This window comes from Homo sapiens, chromosome 6 (genome assembly GCF_000001405.40).
Source record: "Homo sapiens chromosome 6, GRCh38.p14 Primary Assembly".
Taxonomy (NCBI): domain Eukaryota; kingdom Metazoa; phylum Chordata; class Mammalia; order Primates; family Hominidae; genus Homo; species Homo sapiens.
This window is the reverse complement of record NC_000006.12, coordinates 155,014,681-155,036,067: the sequence shown is the minus strand read 5'-3', so window position 1 is coordinate 155,036,067 and position 21,387 is coordinate 155,014,681. Positions and strand designations below refer to the sequence as shown.

Genomic DNA, 21,387 nt, shown 5'->3' with positions numbered 1-21,387 from the left:
GCCTAAATGATACATACTCTGTACACAGGGTTTTTCTTTCTTTGCTTAATCTGTCCAGAAAGATTTACCCAAAAAGGGATCAACAATTGTTAATGAAGCATTAAACACAAGCTCCAAGTCCAGGGAAAATTAAAAATTATACGTATAGAGACATTCATGTTTCAAAAAATAAAGAGATACAAGTTACAGTCTTTGTATCATCGCAGCCTTCCAAGGGCCATTTACATCAACCCAGCAAGGGCTGTGTGCATGACCCTGTCCCAGAATTAATTACCATCTACCGAGTAATCGTTTGTATTAATGAGAATCAAATGTTTTCATTAACATACAAGTCTGAAAAGTACAAGAACTTACAGCCTTTTCCAGAAGCCTCTACTGGATCTCAATTAGGTTTAATTTTCCTAATCATGGAAAAAAAGAGGCTAAGTTACATTTCAAATTGCTTAGACCTTACAGTTTCAATGATGATGATCAGTACACATACACACAGGAATAAGATGGTGTTTGCAAAACTCCAACATTAGTCTGAGTCTCGTGAACTAACAGGAAAAGGCTGGGTAGTCTCACGCCTGTTAATCCCAAACTTTGGGAGGCTAAAACGGGTGGATCGTCTGAGGTCAAGAATTTGAGACCAGCCTGATCAACATAGCAAAACCCCATTTCTACTAAAAATACAAAAATTAGCCGGTATGGTGGCACACACCTGTAGTCCCAGCTACTCGGGAAGCTGAGGCAGGAGGATCGCTTGAACCCGGGAGGTGGAAATGCAGTGAGCCAAGATCACGCCACCGCACTCCAGCCTGGGTGACAAAGCAAGACTCCGTTTCAAAAAAAAAAAAAATAGGACGATACATGTAAGGCGAAGAATAAAAAAAACAGCAAAACAAAACTTACATCACTTGCACATCCATTCAGCAAATAAAGAATCAGTGCATACGTGGATCAAACGAACTATAATAATCAAGTCATTCCCTCCAAACCATATTTCTACCTTTTCCTCCTTAACTGTGAAAGCTTCGTGGACCCATATAGGTTTTACTGAAATACAATTTTAAATTTCCTTAGATTTATTATGGTGGGTTTTGGTTTCTGTTTTTTAATAGGGATCCTGTAAACATTAAAAAATATTAATTCATAATCAGCTAATGAAAAATATTTTTCAACTCTATTTTTAAAAACTTCACAATAAACAGGATCTTTGAAAACATCTGCGGCTAGCATCGTACTTAATGGTGAAAATTGAATGCATTCTATTAAGACCAGGAATAAGCCAATATATATTGTGTTGGAGGTCCCAGCCAATGTGATAAGGCAGGAAAAAGAGGTTAACTAGCCTAGCCAGGAATCAAACATGGGCTCTCAGACTCCAAAGCACATGCTCTGAGGCAGGAGCTCCACAGAGAGATGCAACTCTGAGGTGAAAAGACTTCATTCACTTCTGAAGCACTCAGTTGCAGGAAGGCAGCAAACATCTAGATGAAGACATCCAGTTGAAGGTTAAAATACTGGACCTAGCCAGGCGCTTTGGCTCACGCCTGTAATCCCAGCACTTTGGGAGGCCAAGGTGGGCAGATCACCTAAGGTCAGAACTTCAAGACCAGCCTGGCCAACATGGTGAAACTCCATCCCTACTCAAAATACAAAAATTAGCCGGGCATGGTGGTGGGTGGCTATAATCAATCCCAGCTACTTGGGAGGCTGAGGCAGGAGAATTGCTTGAACCTGGTAGGCAGAGGTTGCAGTGAGCCAAGACCGTGCCATTGCACTCCAGCCTGGGCAATGGAGCAAGACTCTATCTCAAACAAAACAAAAACAAAAAAACCAATGGACCCCAGAAGAGAGGTCTCAACTAGAGTTATATTGACTGGGCAGAAACTGGCATGTATTCTGGTAGATGAAGGCAGGGGCAAAGCAAAAATTATCCACTGAAGAGAACCCAGGTTGGCACCCTAGGGAGAACCTCACTGTTTGACAGTGGGATAAGGAAGGAGACTCCAAAGGGAGGCAGGAAAAAAAAAAAAAGGTAAGCAACAGAGAAGAAAGCCAAGAGAGGCCGGGTGCGGTGGCTCACGCCTGTAATCCCAACACTTTGGGAGGCTGAGGTGGGCAGATAACCTGAGGTCAGGAGTTCGAGACCAGCCTGGCTAACACAGTGAAACCCCGTCTCTACTAAAAATGCAAAAATTAGCCGGGTGTGGTGGCACGCACCTGTAAGCCTGGCTACTCAGAAGGCTAAGGCAGGAGAATTGCTTGAACCCGGGAGGGGGAGGTTGCAGTGAGCCGAGATGGCACCACTGCACTCAAGCCTGGGTGACAGAGCAAGACTCTGTCTCAAAAAACAAAAAAAGAAAGAAAGAAAAGAAAGCCAAGAGAAAGGAGCTGGCCCAGGAGCCAATGGCAGAAGTTACTTCTAGGAAACAGGCAGGGCGGCTCTGAAGAAGACACTGCGTGTGAAATATTTCTGGGGCAAACTTTTTTTTTTCTGAGCATAACTCATACTTGGCACGGCTTCCTTTCTTAACTAAGAAACTAAACCTTTCTATTCTTGAGTTTTATCTTTAAACCTGCGAAACCTGCTGTGCTTCTACTCTAAATTTCAGAGCCAAAGTGCTATATCAACTACAAGATTAGGGAATTTCATAAAATAAAACAAATATTGGAGACCACAGATAAAGTTGCTCAAAAGCAAAACAGGACTATGTCTTATTTTTCTAACAGTTGTTTTGGGGAGACAAGCCAGCTCCCTTAAGGAATTAATGTAACCTAAAACGTAACCATGCTCCTGAGAGATCACGGAAGTAGCCCAGTGGTTACATCACCAAAGTAGTATCTTTGGGCCGCATTTAAGTAGCGCGCAGGCAGGGCTGCAGAGGGCCTGGGGCCGTCATGGCTGCAGTGAATACATATGTACTCAAAATGACATCCAGGTGTACTAACCTTCTCCAAATGTTCAGGAAGGCAACGAGAAGACCCGGGAACAAGGAAAATCTAGACCAGTTTGACCACATGTGTTTAACATACAGTCTAACAGGCACATAGGCAAGAGCACCAACATGGACAACAGAAAGGAAACTTCAATGAGCTGTGGTCGTAGAATTAACACATAGCTGTTTTCAACTAAAGGCAGAAAATTTCAGGGGGAAATGATTCTTTTATATACCCCAAATTCCTTTGGAGTATTCCTTTGCTCTATATACAACACAAATGTTCAAAAGAAGAAAAAAACAGGCCAGGCGTCGTGGCCCAGGCCTGTAATCCCAGCACTTTGGGAGGCCGAGGTGGGCGGATCACCTGAGGTCAGGAGTTCAAGACCAGCCTGGCCAACATGGCGAAACCCGTCTCTACTAAAAATACAAAAAATTAGCTGGGCGTGGTGGCAGGTGCCCGTAATCTCAGCTACTTGGGAGAGTGAAGCAGGAGAATTGCTTGAACCCGGGAGGTAGAGGTTGCAGTGAGCCGAGATCACGCCACTGCACTCCAGCCTGGGCAACAGAGCGATACTCTGTCTCAAAAAAGAAAAAAACAAAAATCCCTGCAGCCTAAAGAGGGTTGGAGTGCAGCAGAGATGAAGAACACAAACCCTGCTCATTCTCAGACGATTCCTACTGCATTCTTTTGACAGATGCCTCAATTCCCCGTTTGATGTGATGCTTGTGTGGACAGGGATTTAGTGATTAATGCCACGCATGACATAGATTGCTATCAGCATCTTCATGCTCCAAATGTAGGTCCACCGAGCGTTGCGTTCCATGAACCACACTGTGAGTGGCAAGTGGGGAAAGGATCACAATGGAAGCTTTCCAAACTTTAATTCCTGTGCACAGACAAGCAGGCAGGTTCGCACAGGCTTAAGACGTGTGTATGCACCAGGAGAAAACACACAGGAACATTGGGGAGAACATTTTGGCAAGTGGCTTAGCTTGTTCAATCTGAACATAATTTCCTTTCTCACAGTAGCATGACCTCTCCCACCTTTTTTCCCTCACAGATCTTCCATCGTATAAAGTACACGCTATACTTTGAGAGGTTCTGCTCTGCCAAAGCAGTACTTACAGGAACTGTAAATTTCTTACCTTTTCAAGCCCCTAGTCGCAGTTGATATACATCTTCAAAATACGAATTAAAATAGCTTTCATAGATACCTCAAATTAAATAGACAATGTGCTTTTTGTTCCCAAGAATTTTCCTTACTTTTGATTCTACCCAAAAGTAAGAAAAGCAAGTAAGATAATTCAAATTAATATGTTATGTTTTCATCTTTAAGCCCATCATATGGAAGTATCTCCTAATATATTTAGTTCCTTTTATTTAAATATAAGTTCTGCAATTTGTTTAGTCTTAAAAGGCCAGAGACACACACTCTGTGCCCAGGCTGGAGTGCAATGGTGTGATCTCACCTCACTGCAGCATCCTCCTCCCGGACTCAGGTGATCCTCCCACCTCAGCCTCCCGAGTAGCTGGGACTATAGGTGCGTGCCACCACACCCAGCTAATTTTTTGTGTTTTTTGTAGAGATGGGGTTTAGCCATGTTACCCAGGCTGCTCTCAAACTCCTGGGTTCAAGTAATCTGCCCACCTTGGCCTCCCACAGCGCTGGGATTAGAGGCATGAGCCACCACTCCCAGCCTCATCTCTTCATTTTCAAAACAAAAACTCTTTTGCAATTTGAGACAGCTACTAAAAAATATTACAGATAAATTATAAAATAATAGCAAAAGTTATGTGAAGTATCAGCAACAGTGTCTGAGTCATTTAGAAAGACTCACCTGGATTTATATTGACTCATTCTAAAATATGCACAACATATACAGAGAGGCACATATGTATTTAGTCTTTTAAAAACAAAGAAATTGACAAGAAGTGAATAGGTGTTACACCTTTAAGGAGTTAATTTAACACTGAGAAGTATTTATGACCATGCATGTTCACATTGGAATTTTCAGAATACTGTCAAAGGGTTAAATAAGACACAAAGTGTCTTGTGAATACCAATTCCATAGAATTTCATAAAAACTCTTAGCCACACACAACAAAGAGAACAGCAGTCAGGGAGGGCAAACAGCCTCACAGGAACTTATTTCACCAAAACTATGAACGCATTCTCAAATTATTAAATCTTTTGGCACCATTACTATGCCAGAGGAATCCTTACCTTTTATTTCCCCAAGTCTTCTAACGAGAGACAGTTGAGATCCTGATTTAAACACAGGAAGATCACTAAAATGAAAGATTTAATCTCATTGTCTGGAAGGCTATGGAACCTCCCTGGTTGAGCTCAGGGCCACACTTACCAAAAAATTTCTATAGTGAAAAGCAGAATCCAAAATATAATTTCCATCATGATAGAACAGCAGCTTTCCTCCAAAATTTACCAGTTAGTATTATTCCACAGGAGCAAGACGGAGAAAGTAGCTAACATTCTTCCACAATCACATGAGGAAACCAATCAAATCATGGATTGGCAAGCATTCCCCACAGAATGGAATTTCTGAGCAGACACCCCTTGAGCAGTGGGGTGAACAATACCAGGAGGCTTGCGGTTTGGACGCAGGTTAAAAGCAGAGATCAACAGCTTGTTCCTCCTAACAACCAGACGAGGTCAAATCCCTGCCTATTGCTCCTTCTCGACCTTAATCTCTTCGGGAGATCATAGTAACAAAATGTGAGCAGCTATCACAGGACTGTTAAAATCAACTTCTCACCAACAGAAGGCAGTTCAATTGTAACAACCTACGTCATTTCCTTGTTTTCTAGGAAAAAGGCACTAAGATTGATCACAACTTGGTTGTGAAGTTCTCTTTCCAAGATGTTCAACTCTCCATCTGCATCTGGCCTGCCTCATCCCATGCTCTATCTTGCCTCCCTCTCCTCCCTCCCCAAACTCCGTAATTTCAGAAAGTTATCATAAGGTAATATAAAAATCATTTCAAGCCCATTTGCTTTACAAGTGATAACTATGAAACTTTCAAAGAACAACAAAGGCACAGTGGCTCACACCTGTAATCCCAGCACTCTGGGAGGCCAAGGTGGGAGGATGGCTTGACCCCAGGGTTCGAGACCAGCCTGGGCAACATGGTGAGACCCCCATCTCTACAAAACATACAAAAATTAGCCAGGCATAGTGGCGCATGCCTGTGGTCCCAGCTACTTGGGAGGCTGAGACGGGAGGATGGCTTGTGTCTGGGAGGCGGAGGTTGCAGTGAGCCGCGATCACACCACTGCACTCTGCCTGGGCAACAGACTGAGACCCTGTCTCAGAAAAACAAAACAAAACAAAAAAAACACAAAAAGTCTTTAGGTTTTTTTCTACATATATATATATATAGTTATATACTATATAGTTATATAACTCTGTATATAGTTATATATCTCTATATATAGTTATATAACTCTGTATATAGTTATATAACTCTATATATAGTTATATAACTATATATAGTTATATACATATATACAGAGTTATATAACTATATATACTATATAGTTATATATACTATTATATAGTATATATTTATACTACATAATATATATTATTATCTATACTATAATATATAGTATATATTATATATAATATATACTATAGTATATATACTATAGTATATATTATATATAATATATACTATAGTATAATATATACTATAGTATATATAGTATATATTATATATACTATAGTATATATATAACATAGTATATATAGTATATATTATATATAACGTATATATATTATATATAACACATAGTACATATAGTATATATAACACATAGTACATATAGTATATATAACACATAGTACATATAGTGTATATAACACATAGTACATATAGTGTATATAACACATAGTACATATAGTGTATATAACACATAGTACATACAGTGTATATAACACATAGTACATATAGTGTATATAACACATAGTACATATAGTGTATATAACACATAGTACATACAGTGTATATATAACACATAGTATATACAGTGTATATATAACAGTATATATAGTATATACAGTGTATATATAACATAGTATATATAGTATATACAGTGTATATATAACATAGTATATATAGTATATACAGTGTATATATAACATAGTATATATAGTACATACAGTGTATATATAACATAGTATATATAGTATATACAGTGTATATATAACATAGTATAGATAGTATATACAGTGTATATATAACATAGTATAGATAGTATATACAGTGTATATATAACATAGTATATATATAACACAGTATATATATTATATATAGTATATAACACAGTATATATATTACATGTAGTATATAACACAGTATATATATTATATGTAGTATATAACACAGTATATATATTATATGTAGTATATATATAACACAGTATATATATTATATGTAGTATATATATAACACAGTATATATATTATATGTAGTATATATATAACACAGTATATATATTATATGTAGTATATATAACACAGTATATATATTATATGTAGTATATATGTAACACAGTATATATATATTATATGTAGTATATATGTAACACAGTATATATATTATATGTAGTATATATGTAACACAGTATATATATGTAGTATATGTAACACAGTATATATATTATATGTAGTATATGTAACACAGTATATATATTATATGTAGTATATGTAACACAGTATATATATGTAGTATATATGTAACACAGTATATATATTATATGTAGTATATATGTAACACAGTATATATTATATGTAGTATATATGTAACACAGTACATATATGTAGTATATATGTAACACAGTACATATATTATATGTAGTATATATGTAACACAGTACATATATTATATGTAGTATATATGTAACACAGTACATATATTATATGTAGTATATATGTAACACAGTACATATATTATATGTAGTATATATGTAACAGTACATATATTATATATAGTATATATGTAACACAGTACATATATTATATATAGTATATATGTAACACAGTACATATATTATATATAGTATATATGTAACACAGTACATATATTATATATAGTATATAACACAGTACATATATTATATATAGTATATATGTAACACAGTACATATATTATATATAGTATATATGTAACACAGTACATATATTATATATAGTATATATGTAACACAGTACATATTATATAGTATATATGTAACACAGTACATATATTATATAGTATATAACACAGTACATATATTATATATAGTATATATGTATCACAGTACATATATTATATATAGTATATATGTAACACAGTACATATATTATATATAGTATATATGTAACACAGTACATATATTATATATAGTATATATGTAACACAGTACATATATTATATATAGTATATATGTAACACAGTACATATATTATATATAGTATATATGTAACACAGTACATATATTATATATAGTATATATGTAACACAGTACATATATTATATATAGTATATATGTAACACAGTACATATATTATATATAGTATATATGTAACACAGTATATATATTATATATAGTATATGTAACACAGTATATATATTATATATAGTATATATGTAACACAGTATATATATTATATATAGTATATATGTAACACAGTATATATATTATATATAGTATATATGTAACACAGTATATATATTATATATAGTATATATGTAACACAGTATATATATTATATATAGTATATATGTAACACAGTATATATATTATATATATAATATACAGGTGCGATGGCTCATGCCTGTAATCCCAACACTTTGGGAGGCCCAGGCAAGTGGATCACCTGAGGTCAGGAGTAAGAGACCATCCTGGCCAACATGGTGAAACCCCGTCTCTATTAAAACAGAAAAATTAGCTGGGCATGGTGGCATGTCCCAGCTACTCAGGAGGCTGAGGCAGGAGAATCGTTTGAGCCCAGGAGGCAGAGGTTGTAGTGAGCCAAGATCACTCCACTGCACTCCAGCCTGGGTGACAGAGCAAGACTCCATCTCAAAAAAAAGGTAAAAAATATTTAATAGTTTGCTAATGAACAGAAATATTCAAAGTCCAGAAATAGACACAAATTATATGGACATGCAGAATATCATAAAGGTGGCATTTCAAGTAGGTAAAGATGTGCACTATAACAAATGAACAGTTTTTCTCTTCCCAACCAGTTGCTCCGTTACACCGTCTCACCATGTGTAAAACCAGCAGTAGCCCAGTCTCCCGTAACTACATACAAAAGCCAAAAGGTGTGTGCATTTCTTCTAGCTTCTCACCAAGTCCCTAACCAAAGGTGAGCCCCACTCCAATCAAACCAGAAGCCTCACCGCATATTTTAACTCTCAAGGTCTCATGGGAGAGGTGAGCACCAGCTCCAAACTTCCAGAGGCTGGCACCAGGGCCAAGGGGCCACCCAGGCTGCCATGTGAGTCATGGATGAGTCAGTCCCTCAAGGACTGCCAGTCCCCACTGGGATGCATCTACCTCCAGCATGCAGCCTCTTTATTACAAAAACATATCCAGCCCTCCCCCAGTGTTCTGTAGTTGTCCATGCCCTTCGAAACATGATGATAAACCACAGTGAGTTTTGCAAAGAAAATTAACTGCTTAGCGTTGAAACAGTCTACCCCCACCAGGAGGGAAAAAAAATTGAGAAACTCAATTATCATTGCAAAAAGATGATTCTTAATGGAAACCTTGGGAAGAACCTGGGGGAAGCATTCAGAAAGAACGCCAAGATCATCTGTATTTGCTGAGGAATCAACAGAGATTTTGAACATTTGAAATTCTGAACAGATCCCTAAGGGGAATACTGTTTAACATTTTATGGTGTGACAGCTTACCCAGGTCTTAAAATATTCCTCTCATTAGAAGTTCTTTTTTTATCTAGTACCTAGCCAAAGCAATGCGGCAATTTAAGAAGACAAAGCTGAATGCCTGGATTTGAGCTGTTTTATGTTTCCATATAGAAATCCAGCCTATCATTATCAGAGCTCTGGCTGGGCTGCAAAGTACCTCTGAGCAAGAAAGAACCATTCAAGAAGCCCATTCTATTTGTGAGATGTGTAGACTAGCGGGTGTTCCATGTTCTGAGACCCCACAACTGCTCAAGGAGGCTTTTGTCCCACTGCTCAACAACACCTTTCCGAAGCATCCAAATGTTTCCTTCCCTTCTTTCTTTTCTGTGTGTGTGTGTGTGTGTGTGTGTGTGTGTGTGTGTGTGTGTGTGTGTGTGTGTTTGAGGGGGAGGTGCTCACATGTGTTTTTATGTATGGGTATGAAAAAATCTATTTTTTTAAATGTGATTGGTAAAATTGGCGGGTACTACCCAAACCTCAGCCGTCAAAGACACATGAATTTTCAAGGAAATTAATTTCAACTTTGATGAAAAAATGTTACAATGTATATAAGCAGACACTAAATAAAAATAACCTCCTCTTTGCCCGGGTGCAGTGCCTCACACCTGTAATCCCAGCACTTTAGGAGGCTGAGGTGGGCGGATCACTTAAGGTCAGGGGTTCAAGACCAGGCTGGCCAACATGGTGAAACCCCAACTCTACTAAAAAAATACAAAAATTAGGCCGGGCGCGGTGGCTCATGCCTGTAATCTCAGTACTTTGGGAGGCTGAGGAGGGCAGATCACGAGGTCAGGAGATTGAGACCACGGTGAAACCCCGTCTCTACTAAAAATACAAAAAATTAGCCGGGCGTGGTGGCAGGCGCCTGTAGTCCCAGCTACTCAGGAGGCTGAGGCAGGAGAATGGCGTGAACCCGGGAGGCAGAGCTTGCAGCGAGCTGAGATCATGCCACTGCACTCCAGCCTGGGTAACAGAGCGAGACTCCGTCTCAAAAAAAAAAAAAAAAATACAAAAATTAGCCAGACGTGGTGCCTATAATCCCAGCTACTCAGGAGACTGAGGCGGAAGAATCACTTGAACCCAGGAGGCAGAGGTTGCAGTGAGCCGAGATCATGCCACCGTACGCCAGCCTGGGTGACAGAGCCAGACTCCGTCTCTAAAAATAAAATAAAAATAAAAAATAACCTCCTCTTTAAATAAAGTCAAATAAAACCAGGTTCTATGGAATGCTAAATAACTAAAATGACATTTAACAAATTACAAGCTGAGTGTCTGTTTTCTGGATTTCTCCCTTCTGGATCTGTCACTTCATCTAGAGCAGGAGTGCTGACAGGGACAAATGCCAACACTCAACCACCTGTAAATAAAAGCTGTGATCCTAATTTCGAAACATTTGCATTCCCCACTCTGTCACTGCAGGACACAAAAGGGAAAAGAAAGTCAAGGACATTTGCTCAGTAAAATGAAATCCTTTCTTGGCTCTCCTATGATTTCATTTACTTTTTATAGCTTGGCTTTCAAACATAGTAATTGCTTTTTTTTTTTTTTTAAAGACATGGATTTATACCACATTTGAGTGTCCCTATATATAGATTTCAGTCTACAATAATAGCAAATTCACAAGATCCCACCCCTAAAGACCTAAATATCACAGCGATTTAGGAATAGGATCTTCTTCTCCTACAAAGAAAAACTATTAAAGAAGGCAAAGATAACTTACCCCATCTGCCACCAAATGGCAATTCCTAAACCCAGCTTTTATGACACTCTCAGGGAAAAAAAAAATGCACAATTTCTTCCAGGAAATTTGTTGTCTGAAAATCCTCTGAATTTTTAAAAATTGTGTTGTTTTATTTCTGTTAATACTTATAATCTCTGGTTCATCCATTAATAATTAAATCTTACAGTAAGAAAGGCAGTTATTCCAGCCTCTTTCAGTTCTCCTAAAGCAGATATAGAATTCATTTTTGTTCTTCAATTACCTGTTTCTTACCAAAGAAACGTGGCCGTAAGTACTTTTCCCAGAATCATAAAGCTGTAGAGGCCAGCAAGACGCAGTCTGAAGAACAAGTGCTTTGGAGTCAGACAAGGTCAAAACCCAGCTCAGCTCCTTAATTCCTCACCCACCCTCTCTAAGCCTGTGTCCTCTGCAGAGTGGGAGGGAATCTGTCCTGGAGAGCCGCATGCAGAGTATTAAGTGGGATGTTGATGAAGTGTCTGGTACAGCCTCTGATCAACAGGTTCCTATGATGTCAAGAAGATGATGATGTTGCTGATGATAAAACAGAGTCTTGGAAATACTCTCTCCAATCCCTTCATCTTGCAGGCAAAGACGAGTAAGGACCCGATAAATTAAGTAATGTACAAACCAACCATCTGCGGCTCAACAAGTGGTTTACGGAGCGCACAATTTAAGGTTTCAATTAGGACTTCTATATACGATGAACAAAAGCACAAAAATACTCAAGTTCAATGAGTATTTCCTTGGAGGCTCCGCCTGCAAGGAAAGCTGACTAAATCTCATTATTGCTGACCTTTCCCCGCAAGAGAAGACCTCCAGAGGATAATGGGTAAAATCTGCCTTTATCCAACTGCAAATAACTCATCATTGCTTGGTTACTTGCAGCTGGTTCCAGGCCAGGCTGCTACCCAACCTGTCAGGGCTGCAAAATCAAGAGCAAACGCACAGACATGGTATAGTTCGGTCAGGCACTAGATCCCATTCTCATTCACAGAACATACAAATTTAGACGCAGCCGAAAAGGACCAGGGTTCAATATGCAAAGACAAACTCTGTTATTAAACTGCAAAGTTTAATAAGAACACTTTTTGCCCCAAATCACAAAGGTCTCTCACATTGACCCATCAACAACCGCCCTCGTGGCAGAGTTTTGTCCGTCTAGACTTAACTTCATCCTGAGACTTGGCCTAAAGGGAGCCAGGTGCCAGGTACCTGCAACTTCTAGAGCAGAGATTCCCACCTGGCTCAGATTTTCCTTCAAAGTCAATTTCCTGAAGTGGCTGTAAGTAAATCCAAGTCAAACTCAGATATCTTGAACAAAAAGGAAAGGATTGCAGATTTCAAAATGAAATAAATTCATTTGCCAAGAAAAAAGATGAAATAAATTCACTTGCCAAGGGAAAAAAAAAAAAAAAAAACAGAACAAAAAATGAGTCCCTCCTTCTCTCTCAGTGCCCTAGTTTAAAAAACCTCTCTACAAAAACAGAAGCCGGAAAGGAGAAACCTAAGATGGTTACAAAAAGGAATTCACTTTATCCACGTCCATGGCTGCCAAGCCCAGCGCTATGACACAAGCAGGCCCTCGAAATGCTTTACTAAGAAACCATCGTTAGCCCTCTTCCCTACTAACTCGAACCTATATTTAAGTAGCAACCATATCGTAACTTCAGTAAGCTTTAACTTCTCATAACTCAAGGGACTTGTCAACAATAAGCATTGCATTGCTTCTGCAAGGTGGCCACAGGCAATGTTCCCTACAAGGTGACAGTTGAACACAACTCAGGCCCCCTGTTGCTTGTGAGTTTCTCCTTAGCATTAAATACCCGTATCAGAGATGAGCTCTTCAAGAATCAGACAGACAGGCCAGGCGCAGTGGCTCACGCCTGTAATCCCAGTACCTTATGAGGCTGAGGCAGGTGGATCACCTGGGGTCAGGAGTTCGAGACCAGCTGGCTAACATGGTGAAACCCTGTCTCTACTAAAAATACAAAAAATTAGCAGGGCATGGTGGTGCACACCTGTAGTTCCAGCTACTCAGGAGGCTGAGGCAGGAGAATCACTTGAACCCAGGAGGTGGAGGTTGCAGTGGGCCAAGACTATGCCATTGTACTCCAGCCTGGGCAACAGAGTGAGAGAAAAAAAGAAAAAACAGTCAGGCACACATGGACACAAGAAGGCCCTGCAGTGGTTAATCACTTTTAAATATGGCTCCACTTTCTACAGCTGTTGGTACAGAGCTCGGCGTCTCTGTACCCTTCCCCTCTTATCTCATTTTTATCAATATTTTCTTCTCAAATGATTTTATAGAAAATTATCAAGTTGTGAGAGCTATATCAGGACGAGTGAGTTCATTTTCCTAAGCTCCTTTGGACTGAAAACAGAGGAGGGAAGTAAAAAGCAAATTACTTAACACCAAGTACGAAGCTGCAGATGCTACTAGTTGGCAATTAAACTGAGAGGTAAACTGTGAGGTAAACAGCACGAAGCAGCTTTGGGAAAGCCGCAGAAAGAGGCAGGAGGTCAGGACAGGGGCTTTATCTGAACCATCTTTGTAAACTCCTGCACCTCAAACAGCACTGATGTGTGCACTGTGTGTTGAGTAAAGAAATAAATGCATGACCAGACTGCGTCTCACATGCAACAGGGAAAGCAGGGAGATTTGAGTTTCAGTCCTACCTTTGACAGTAACAAGCTAGGCCGTCAAGTCACTTAACCTATCTGGAATGAAGTTTCCTTATCTGTTTAAATGAGGCAACTGAGGGGATGGTTCAAAAAACCCTAGCACTTTGCAGAGGTAAAGAAACCAGAACCCTTGTGCACGGTTGATTGGAATGTAAAATGGTGCAGGGGCTGTGAAAAACAACATAGTGGTTTTTCAAAGAATTAAAAATAGAATTCTGGCTGGGCGCGGTGGCTCGTGCCTGTAATCCCAGCACTGTAGGAGGCTGCAGCGGGCGGATCACATGAGGTCAGGAGTTTGAGACCAGCCTGACCAACATGGCGAAACCCCGTCTCTACTAAAGATATAAAAACTAGCCGGGCACGGTGGCAGGCGTCTGCAATCCCAGCTACTCGGGAGGCTGAGGCAGCAGAATCGATTTAACCCGGGAGGCAGAGGTTGCGGTGAGCCGAGATCGTACCATTGCACTCCAGCCTGGGGGACAAGAGCGAAACTCCATCTCAAAAAAAGAAAAAAGACATAGAATTCCACTTCTCAGTTTATATCCCCAAAGACTTGAAAGCAGGGTCTTGAAGAGATATTTGTACAGCCATGTTCATAGCTACCATATTGACAGTAGCCAAAAAGTAGAAAAACCCAAATGTCTGTGGACCAATGGGCAGACAAACAAAAGATGACATACAGAGACAAGGGAATATTATTTCGCTTTAAAAGGGAAAGACATTCTGATACATGCTACAACATAGATAAACCTTGAGGACATCACGCTAAGCAAAATAAGCCAGTCACAAAAGAACAAATACTGTATGATTCCACTTATATGAGGTGCCTAGAACAGTCAAATTCATAGAGACAGGAAGGTGGTTGCCAGGGTGGAGGAAGAAGAAATGGGGGGTATTGTTTAACGGGGTACAGAATTTCAGTTCTGCAAGATGAAACAAGTTCTGGAGATGGATAGTGGTGAGGGCTGCACAATAATGTGAATGTACTCAACTATATACTTAAAAATGGCTAATATGGCCGGGCACAGTGGCTCATGCCTGTAATCCCAGCACTTTGGGAGGCCGAGGCTGGCAGATCACTTGAGGTCAGGAGTTTGAGACCAACCTGGCCAACATGACGAAACCCTGTCTCTACTAAAAATACAAAAAATTAGCCTGGTGTGGTGATGCACTCCTGTAATCCCAGTTACTCAAGAGACTGAGGCAGGAGAATCATGTGAACCCAGGGGGCGGAGGTTTCAGTGAGCTGAGATTGCGCCACTGCACTCCAGCCTGGGAGACAGAGCAAGACTCCATCACAACAACAAAAACAACAACAAAAGGCTAATACAGTAATTTGACCACAATAATTTTACCATATTTTTTAAAGTAGGTGAAAAAAGGGGGACAATGTTTATAGCATACAAATTATACCTCAACGTGTCTAGTTTTGGGGAAAAAAATCTTTCAGAAGTTCCCCCTGACGGTTATCCTTTCATTCTTCAAGTCAACAGATATTTATCCATCACTCTGTGACGTGGATCTAATTTCCACAGGTTTCTTTAGAGGGTCCTCTGGCAGGAACAGGAAACTCTTTTTCACTCCCACTCTGGAAAGCATGGGAGAAGTTCAGGACTTAGGCAAGGCTGCACAGCCGGGAAGTGATGATAGCCGGGTGCAGAACCTGAAGAACCCAGCCTGACTCCCAGGGACATGTCTACCACCTACCTCGCTGCCTTTTTTTTTTGCAGACGGAGTATCACTCTGTTGCCAGGCTGGAGTGCAGTGGCGCAATCTCGGCTCACTGCAACCTCCGCCTTCCAGGTTCATGTGATTCTCCTGCCTCAGCCTCCCAAGTAGCCGGGACTACAGGCGCCCAGCACCACGCCTGGCTAATTTTTGTATGTTTAGTAGAGATGGGGTTTTACCTTGTTGGCCAGGATGGTCTCAATCTCTTGACCTCGTGATCCGCCCGCCTCGGCCTCCCAAAGTGCTGGGATTACAGGCATGAGCCACCATGCCCGGCCCCTAGCTGCCTTTTCTAATTTGCTCCACTAATTCTGCAAACGAGGAAGCAAAAGCTCAGAAAGGTTAAGAAAATTCTCCAAGACTAGCCAGCTGGCCGGTAGGCCCACGAGCAAGAAGTCAGGCCAACCAACTATCAGTCCAGTGTTCCTTCCATTCTACAACAAAAAGCCGTATTTGGGGAGAAAAGGAACCACAGCAGTCCCACTGGAATTTCCAAAGCAGCCCACCCCCACTATTTGCAACCTTCTACCCAAAACTAAGAGTTTCATTTAATCATTCGTTTAACACATCATTTACAATAGCTTAATTTTTCTTTTTAAAATAATCCTCTGGACACAAGTCTCCCCTTACAGTTACCCATTCACTATTCGATCAACTGATATCTACTAATCACCTACTAATTTGGATCCTTTTTTATTTTTTTTCTTTTCTTTTTTTTAGATGGAGTCTAGCTCTGTGGCCCAGGCTGGAGTGCAGTGGCCCAATCTCAGCTCACTGCAGCCTCCACCTCCCCGGTTCAAATGATTCTCCTGTCTCAGCCTCTCGAGTAGCTGGGATTACAGGCATCCACCACCATGCCTAATTTTTTTGTATTTTTAGTAGAGAAGGGGTTTCACCGCATTGGCCAGGCTGGTCTTGAATTCCTGACCTCAAGTGATCTGCCTGCCTCAGCCTCCCAAAGTGCTGGGATTACAGGCATGAGCCACTGTGCCCAGCCTATTTTTTTTTTTTTAGATGGAGTCTCACTCTGTCACCCAGGCTGCAGTGCACTAGCACGATCTCAGCTCACTGTAACCTCTGCCTCCCAGGTTCAAGCGATTTTCCTGCCTCAGCCTCCCAAGTAGCTGGGATTACAGGTGCCTGCCACCAGACCCAGCTAATTTTTTGTATTTTTAGTAGAGATGGGGTTTCACCATGCTGGCCAGGCTGATGTCGAACTCGTGACCTCAGGTGATCTGCCTGCCTTGGCCTCCCCATCAAAAAAAAAAGTGATGGGAAGGGGAGGGAAGGGGAGGGGAGGGGAGGGGAGGGAAGGGGAGGGGAGGGGAGGGGAGGGAAGGGGAGGGAAGGGGAGGGAAGGGGAGGGAAGGGGAGGGGAGGGGAGGGAAAGGGAGAGAGAAATGTGAGTCATGTATGTAATTTTTTTTTTTTCTTGAGACAGTCTCCCTTTGCCACCCAGGCTGCAGTGCAGTGGCACAACCTTGGCTCACTAAAAGTTCCGCCCCCCTGGTTCAAGCAATTCTTGTGCCTCAGCCTCCTGAGTAGCTGGGATTACAGGAGCTCGCCACCATGCCTGGCTAATTTTTGAATTATTAGTGACACGGGGTTTCACTGTGTTGGCCAGGCTGGTCTCAAACTCCTGACCTCAAGTGATCCACCTGGCCACTGTAATCTACAGTAAGCCACTGCACCTGGCCTGTAATTTAATTTTCTAGTGACCATATTGAAAAAAATAAGAAGCAAGTGAAATTAATTTATATATACATACATATATATATCTATCTGCACACACATATATACACCTTTTTTTTTTTCGAGACAGTCTCACTCTGTTGCCCAGGCTGGAGTGCAGTGGCAGGAACACAGCTCACTATAGCCTTGAACTCATGGGCTCAAGTGATCCTCCCGCCTCAGCCCTCCAAAGTGCTAGGATTACAGGCGTGAGCCACTGTGCCCGGCCCATAATGTATTTTAATCCAATACATCCAAAATATCATTGTTTTGACATGTAAACAATATAAAAATCGTATTGGGATATTTTACATCTGGCTTTTCATATGAAGTCTGCAAAGCCTCCTGTGTATGTTACACTCACAGCACACCTCAGTGGTGGTGACCACATTTCAAAGTGCTTCACAGCCCCATGGGGCCGGTGGCTACAGATCTGGAGACATGGGTCTTTCAGAGGGGTAAACACTTAAAACGTCAGGCTAAGTTTGGACTTTATCTACAAAAAGACAAAAGGGAGAGTCAGGCGTGGTGGCTCACACCTGTAATCCCAGCACTTTGGGAGGCCGAGGCAGGTGGATCATGAGGTCAGGAGATTGAGACCATCCTGGCTAACACGGTGAAACCCCGTTTCTACAAAAAATACAAAAAATTAGCCGGGCGTGGTGGCAGGTGCCTGTAGTCCCAGCTACTCGGGAGGCTGAGGCAGGAGTATAGCTTGAACCCAGGAGGCGGAGGTTGCAATGAGCCAAGATCGCACTACTGCACTCCAGCCTGGCGACAGAGTGAGACTCCATCTCAAAAAAAAAAAAAAAAGACAAAATGGAGTAGGTGATCTTGTAGAAGCAGTAGTGACAGGAAGCAAGGACTTATATCAACCACTGAAGCTGCTGCCCCACCCAAGCTCTCAGCTCTCAGGGACCCTAGACCCCATGTCATCTACCCTGGTCTCCCCAGCCCCTTTCACAGGGGTCCTTCTGAGACAATGTGTCTCCCTCTACCAGCTGCAACCCATTTATCCCCACTCATTTCCACAATCACGTCATTACCAACCTGAAGCCCCTTGCCCCTCAGTTTTCCTGGATAAGCCTTATTAGCCTATAGAAAGTAAACTGCCAAAGTCCCATCATTCCATCCCTGCTCCTGGACCAGCCAGACTCCTCGGGAGACTGCCTTTCAATATCACCGAATGCGGTGGGCAAGGAGGGAAAACTAGGAATTCTAGTCTCGAACTTTCCCACAGCCCTGCCTGTGAGTTCCTGCTCTGTTTACTGACATATTAATTCTCTGTCATCTACATCAGATCAACTTTTTGAATGTACTCAAGTATCCGAAGCCACTCCAAGGCCCCTTCATGCTCAGGTGATATCCCTGCCTCCCAAGTTATTTTATTTATTGATTTTTATTTATTGATTTTTATTTTGAGATGGAGTCTCGCTCTATCACCCAGGCTGGAGTGCAGTGGCATGATCTTGGCTCACAGCAACTTCCGCTTCCCAGGTTCAAGCGATTCTCCTGCCTCAGCTTCCCGAGTAGCTGGGATTACAGGCACACATCACCACACCTGGCTAATTTTTTTGTATTTTTAGTAGAGACAGGTTTCACCATGTTGGCCAGGCTGGTCTTGAACTCCTGACCTCAAGCAATCCACCCGCCTTGGCCTCCTAAAGTTCTGGGATTACAGGCATGAGCCACCAAGCCCAGTCGAGCAGTCTGGTTTTTTTAATTTACCATTTAAATGTAAATACCATTTAAATTTAAATGTAAATACCATTTAAATTTAAATTTACCATTTAAATGTAAATACCATTTAAATGTAAATACCATTTACATTTAAATTTAAATATAGTATTCCCATACTACCAATCTCTCTCCTCCCAAGCACCATTAACATCTACACAATAATTTTTTTATCCTTTTATGTTCTACAAAAATGGGATTATAGTATACAAGGTTCTTGCCTTTTCTTTTCTCATGGGAATCCTTCCAGGTCAAGTGCAGAAATCCAAGGCATGGACGTGTGACATCTTATCCAACTGTTCCTCTGTCGAAAGCATCCACTTAGTTTCTAATTCTTTGCCACTACAAACAATGCTGCAATAAATATTCTTGTGCAAACAAATTACATACAGCTGCTTTTATTTCTATGGGAGAGAGTCCCAGGGGAGGAACTGCTGGGTCAAAGGCTATGTGTGTTTGAAATTTTAATAGACTCTGCCAGAACTCTTTCCAGAATGGTTATTCCCACCAGCAACGCTTGAAGATCCCCTGCCAGCAAGTATTGTTGCCTTTTAAAATTTTTGCCAGTCTTGATGGTCTGATGTACATTACATAAAGGTTTGTTTGGAGTTTTTTTTTTTTTTTTTTTTTTTTTTTTTGGTTTTTTGAAACAGGGTCTTGCTCTGTGGCCCAGGCTAGAGTGTAGTGGTGCCATCTTGGCTCACTGCAACCCCCGCCTCCTGGGTTCAAGAGATTCTCCTGCCTCAGCCTCCCAAGTATCTGCAACTACAGGTGCCCACCACCATGCCCAGCTAATTCTTGTATTTTTAGTAGAGACAGGATTTCACCATGTTGGCCAGGCTGGTCTCAAACTCCTGACCTCAAGTGATCCATCTGCTTAGGCCTCCCAAAGTGCTGGGATTACAGGCATGAGCCACCGCGCCCGGCCTAAAGTTTAAAAACTCTCCCTCACCTCCCATCCTGCTCAAAACTTATTTAATAATTCTCTTTTTCGACAATTCTTTCTGAGTCCCCTTCTCTGCCTCCTATTCTTCTTCCACCTCCAAAATTTAAGCAGAAAACAAGGCTCTTGCCTGTCTTTTTTGCCTCTCTTTGCACATCCTTCTTTGACAATTTCATTATTTCTCATGGTTTCAGTCATCCCCTCTAAGAGATGAATCTGAATCTACATACCCAGCCCAGACCTGTCTCTCTTGAGCTCCAGATTTCTAACTGCTCACGAGGCACTTCCCATAGAGCCTGCTGACACCTCAGAAATCAGAAGAATCAAACCCAAACTCTCCTTGACTTGACCCAAATGTAATCTTCCCCCAACTCCATTAGTAGAGTAGCATCATCCTTACCACAGGTACACAGGCTTGAATGCCCAGTGTCATTTTTTACCCCTCCCTATGCTTTGCCCCCATATCCAGCCAGCTGCCTCATCTGGACGGTTCTCTCTCCTCTTTCTTATCCCCCCTGTGCGGACTCTCTGCACAGATCACCAGGACTCCTGCAGTAGCCCAGCTGGAACCCCCAGCTCCAGCATGCACACCCTACTCTGCCAGTCCAACCCTCCAACACCTCCCCACTTGCAGACCAAGTTAAACCCAGACATCCTAACCACACTTTCAAGCCCTTACCAGCTCTTGTTCCAGTCTGCCTCTCCAGCCTCCTGACGGACAACTCATACTCCAAACTCAACATGAGCCTGCCCCATTGCTTGTAGCCTAAAGGAAATTCTTTTCTCATAGGAGAAGAATTTGCAAAGAAGGAATCAGAAAGGTAAACAGATGCTTACTGCAATTCCCTCTGCTGCTCTGGCCCTATCTCTGCCAAGGAAATGTCTTTCTCTCTCATACTTTTAAAAAGGAAAAATATTTGGCAGGAAAAATTAAATAAGTAAATGAACCACATAATATA

At 41.2% G+C, this 21,387-nt stretch overlaps 1 protein-coding gene across 2 annotated transcripts in view, besides 1 other annotated feature; it reads right to left on the bottom strand.

The window, feature by feature from the left end:
- The window catches only part of TIAM2 (TIAM Rac1 associated GEF 2), a 262,409-nt gene that overhangs the window by 221,656 nt on the left and 19,366 nt on the right, over nucleotides 1-21,387 (bottom strand). The window lies entirely within an intron of this gene.
- Nucleotides 16,170-16,670: an enhancer, noted in NCBI's record as "H3K4me1 hESC enhancer chr6:155340532-155341032 (GRCh37/hg19 assembly coordinates)". NCBI's record gives its function as "activates a minimal SCP1, AML or CMV promoter by ChIP-STARR-seq in primed H9 embryonic stem cells {active_cell/tissue: H9 hESC(primed)}" and the evidence as "EXISTENCE:reporter gene assay evidence [ECO:0000049][PMID:30033119]".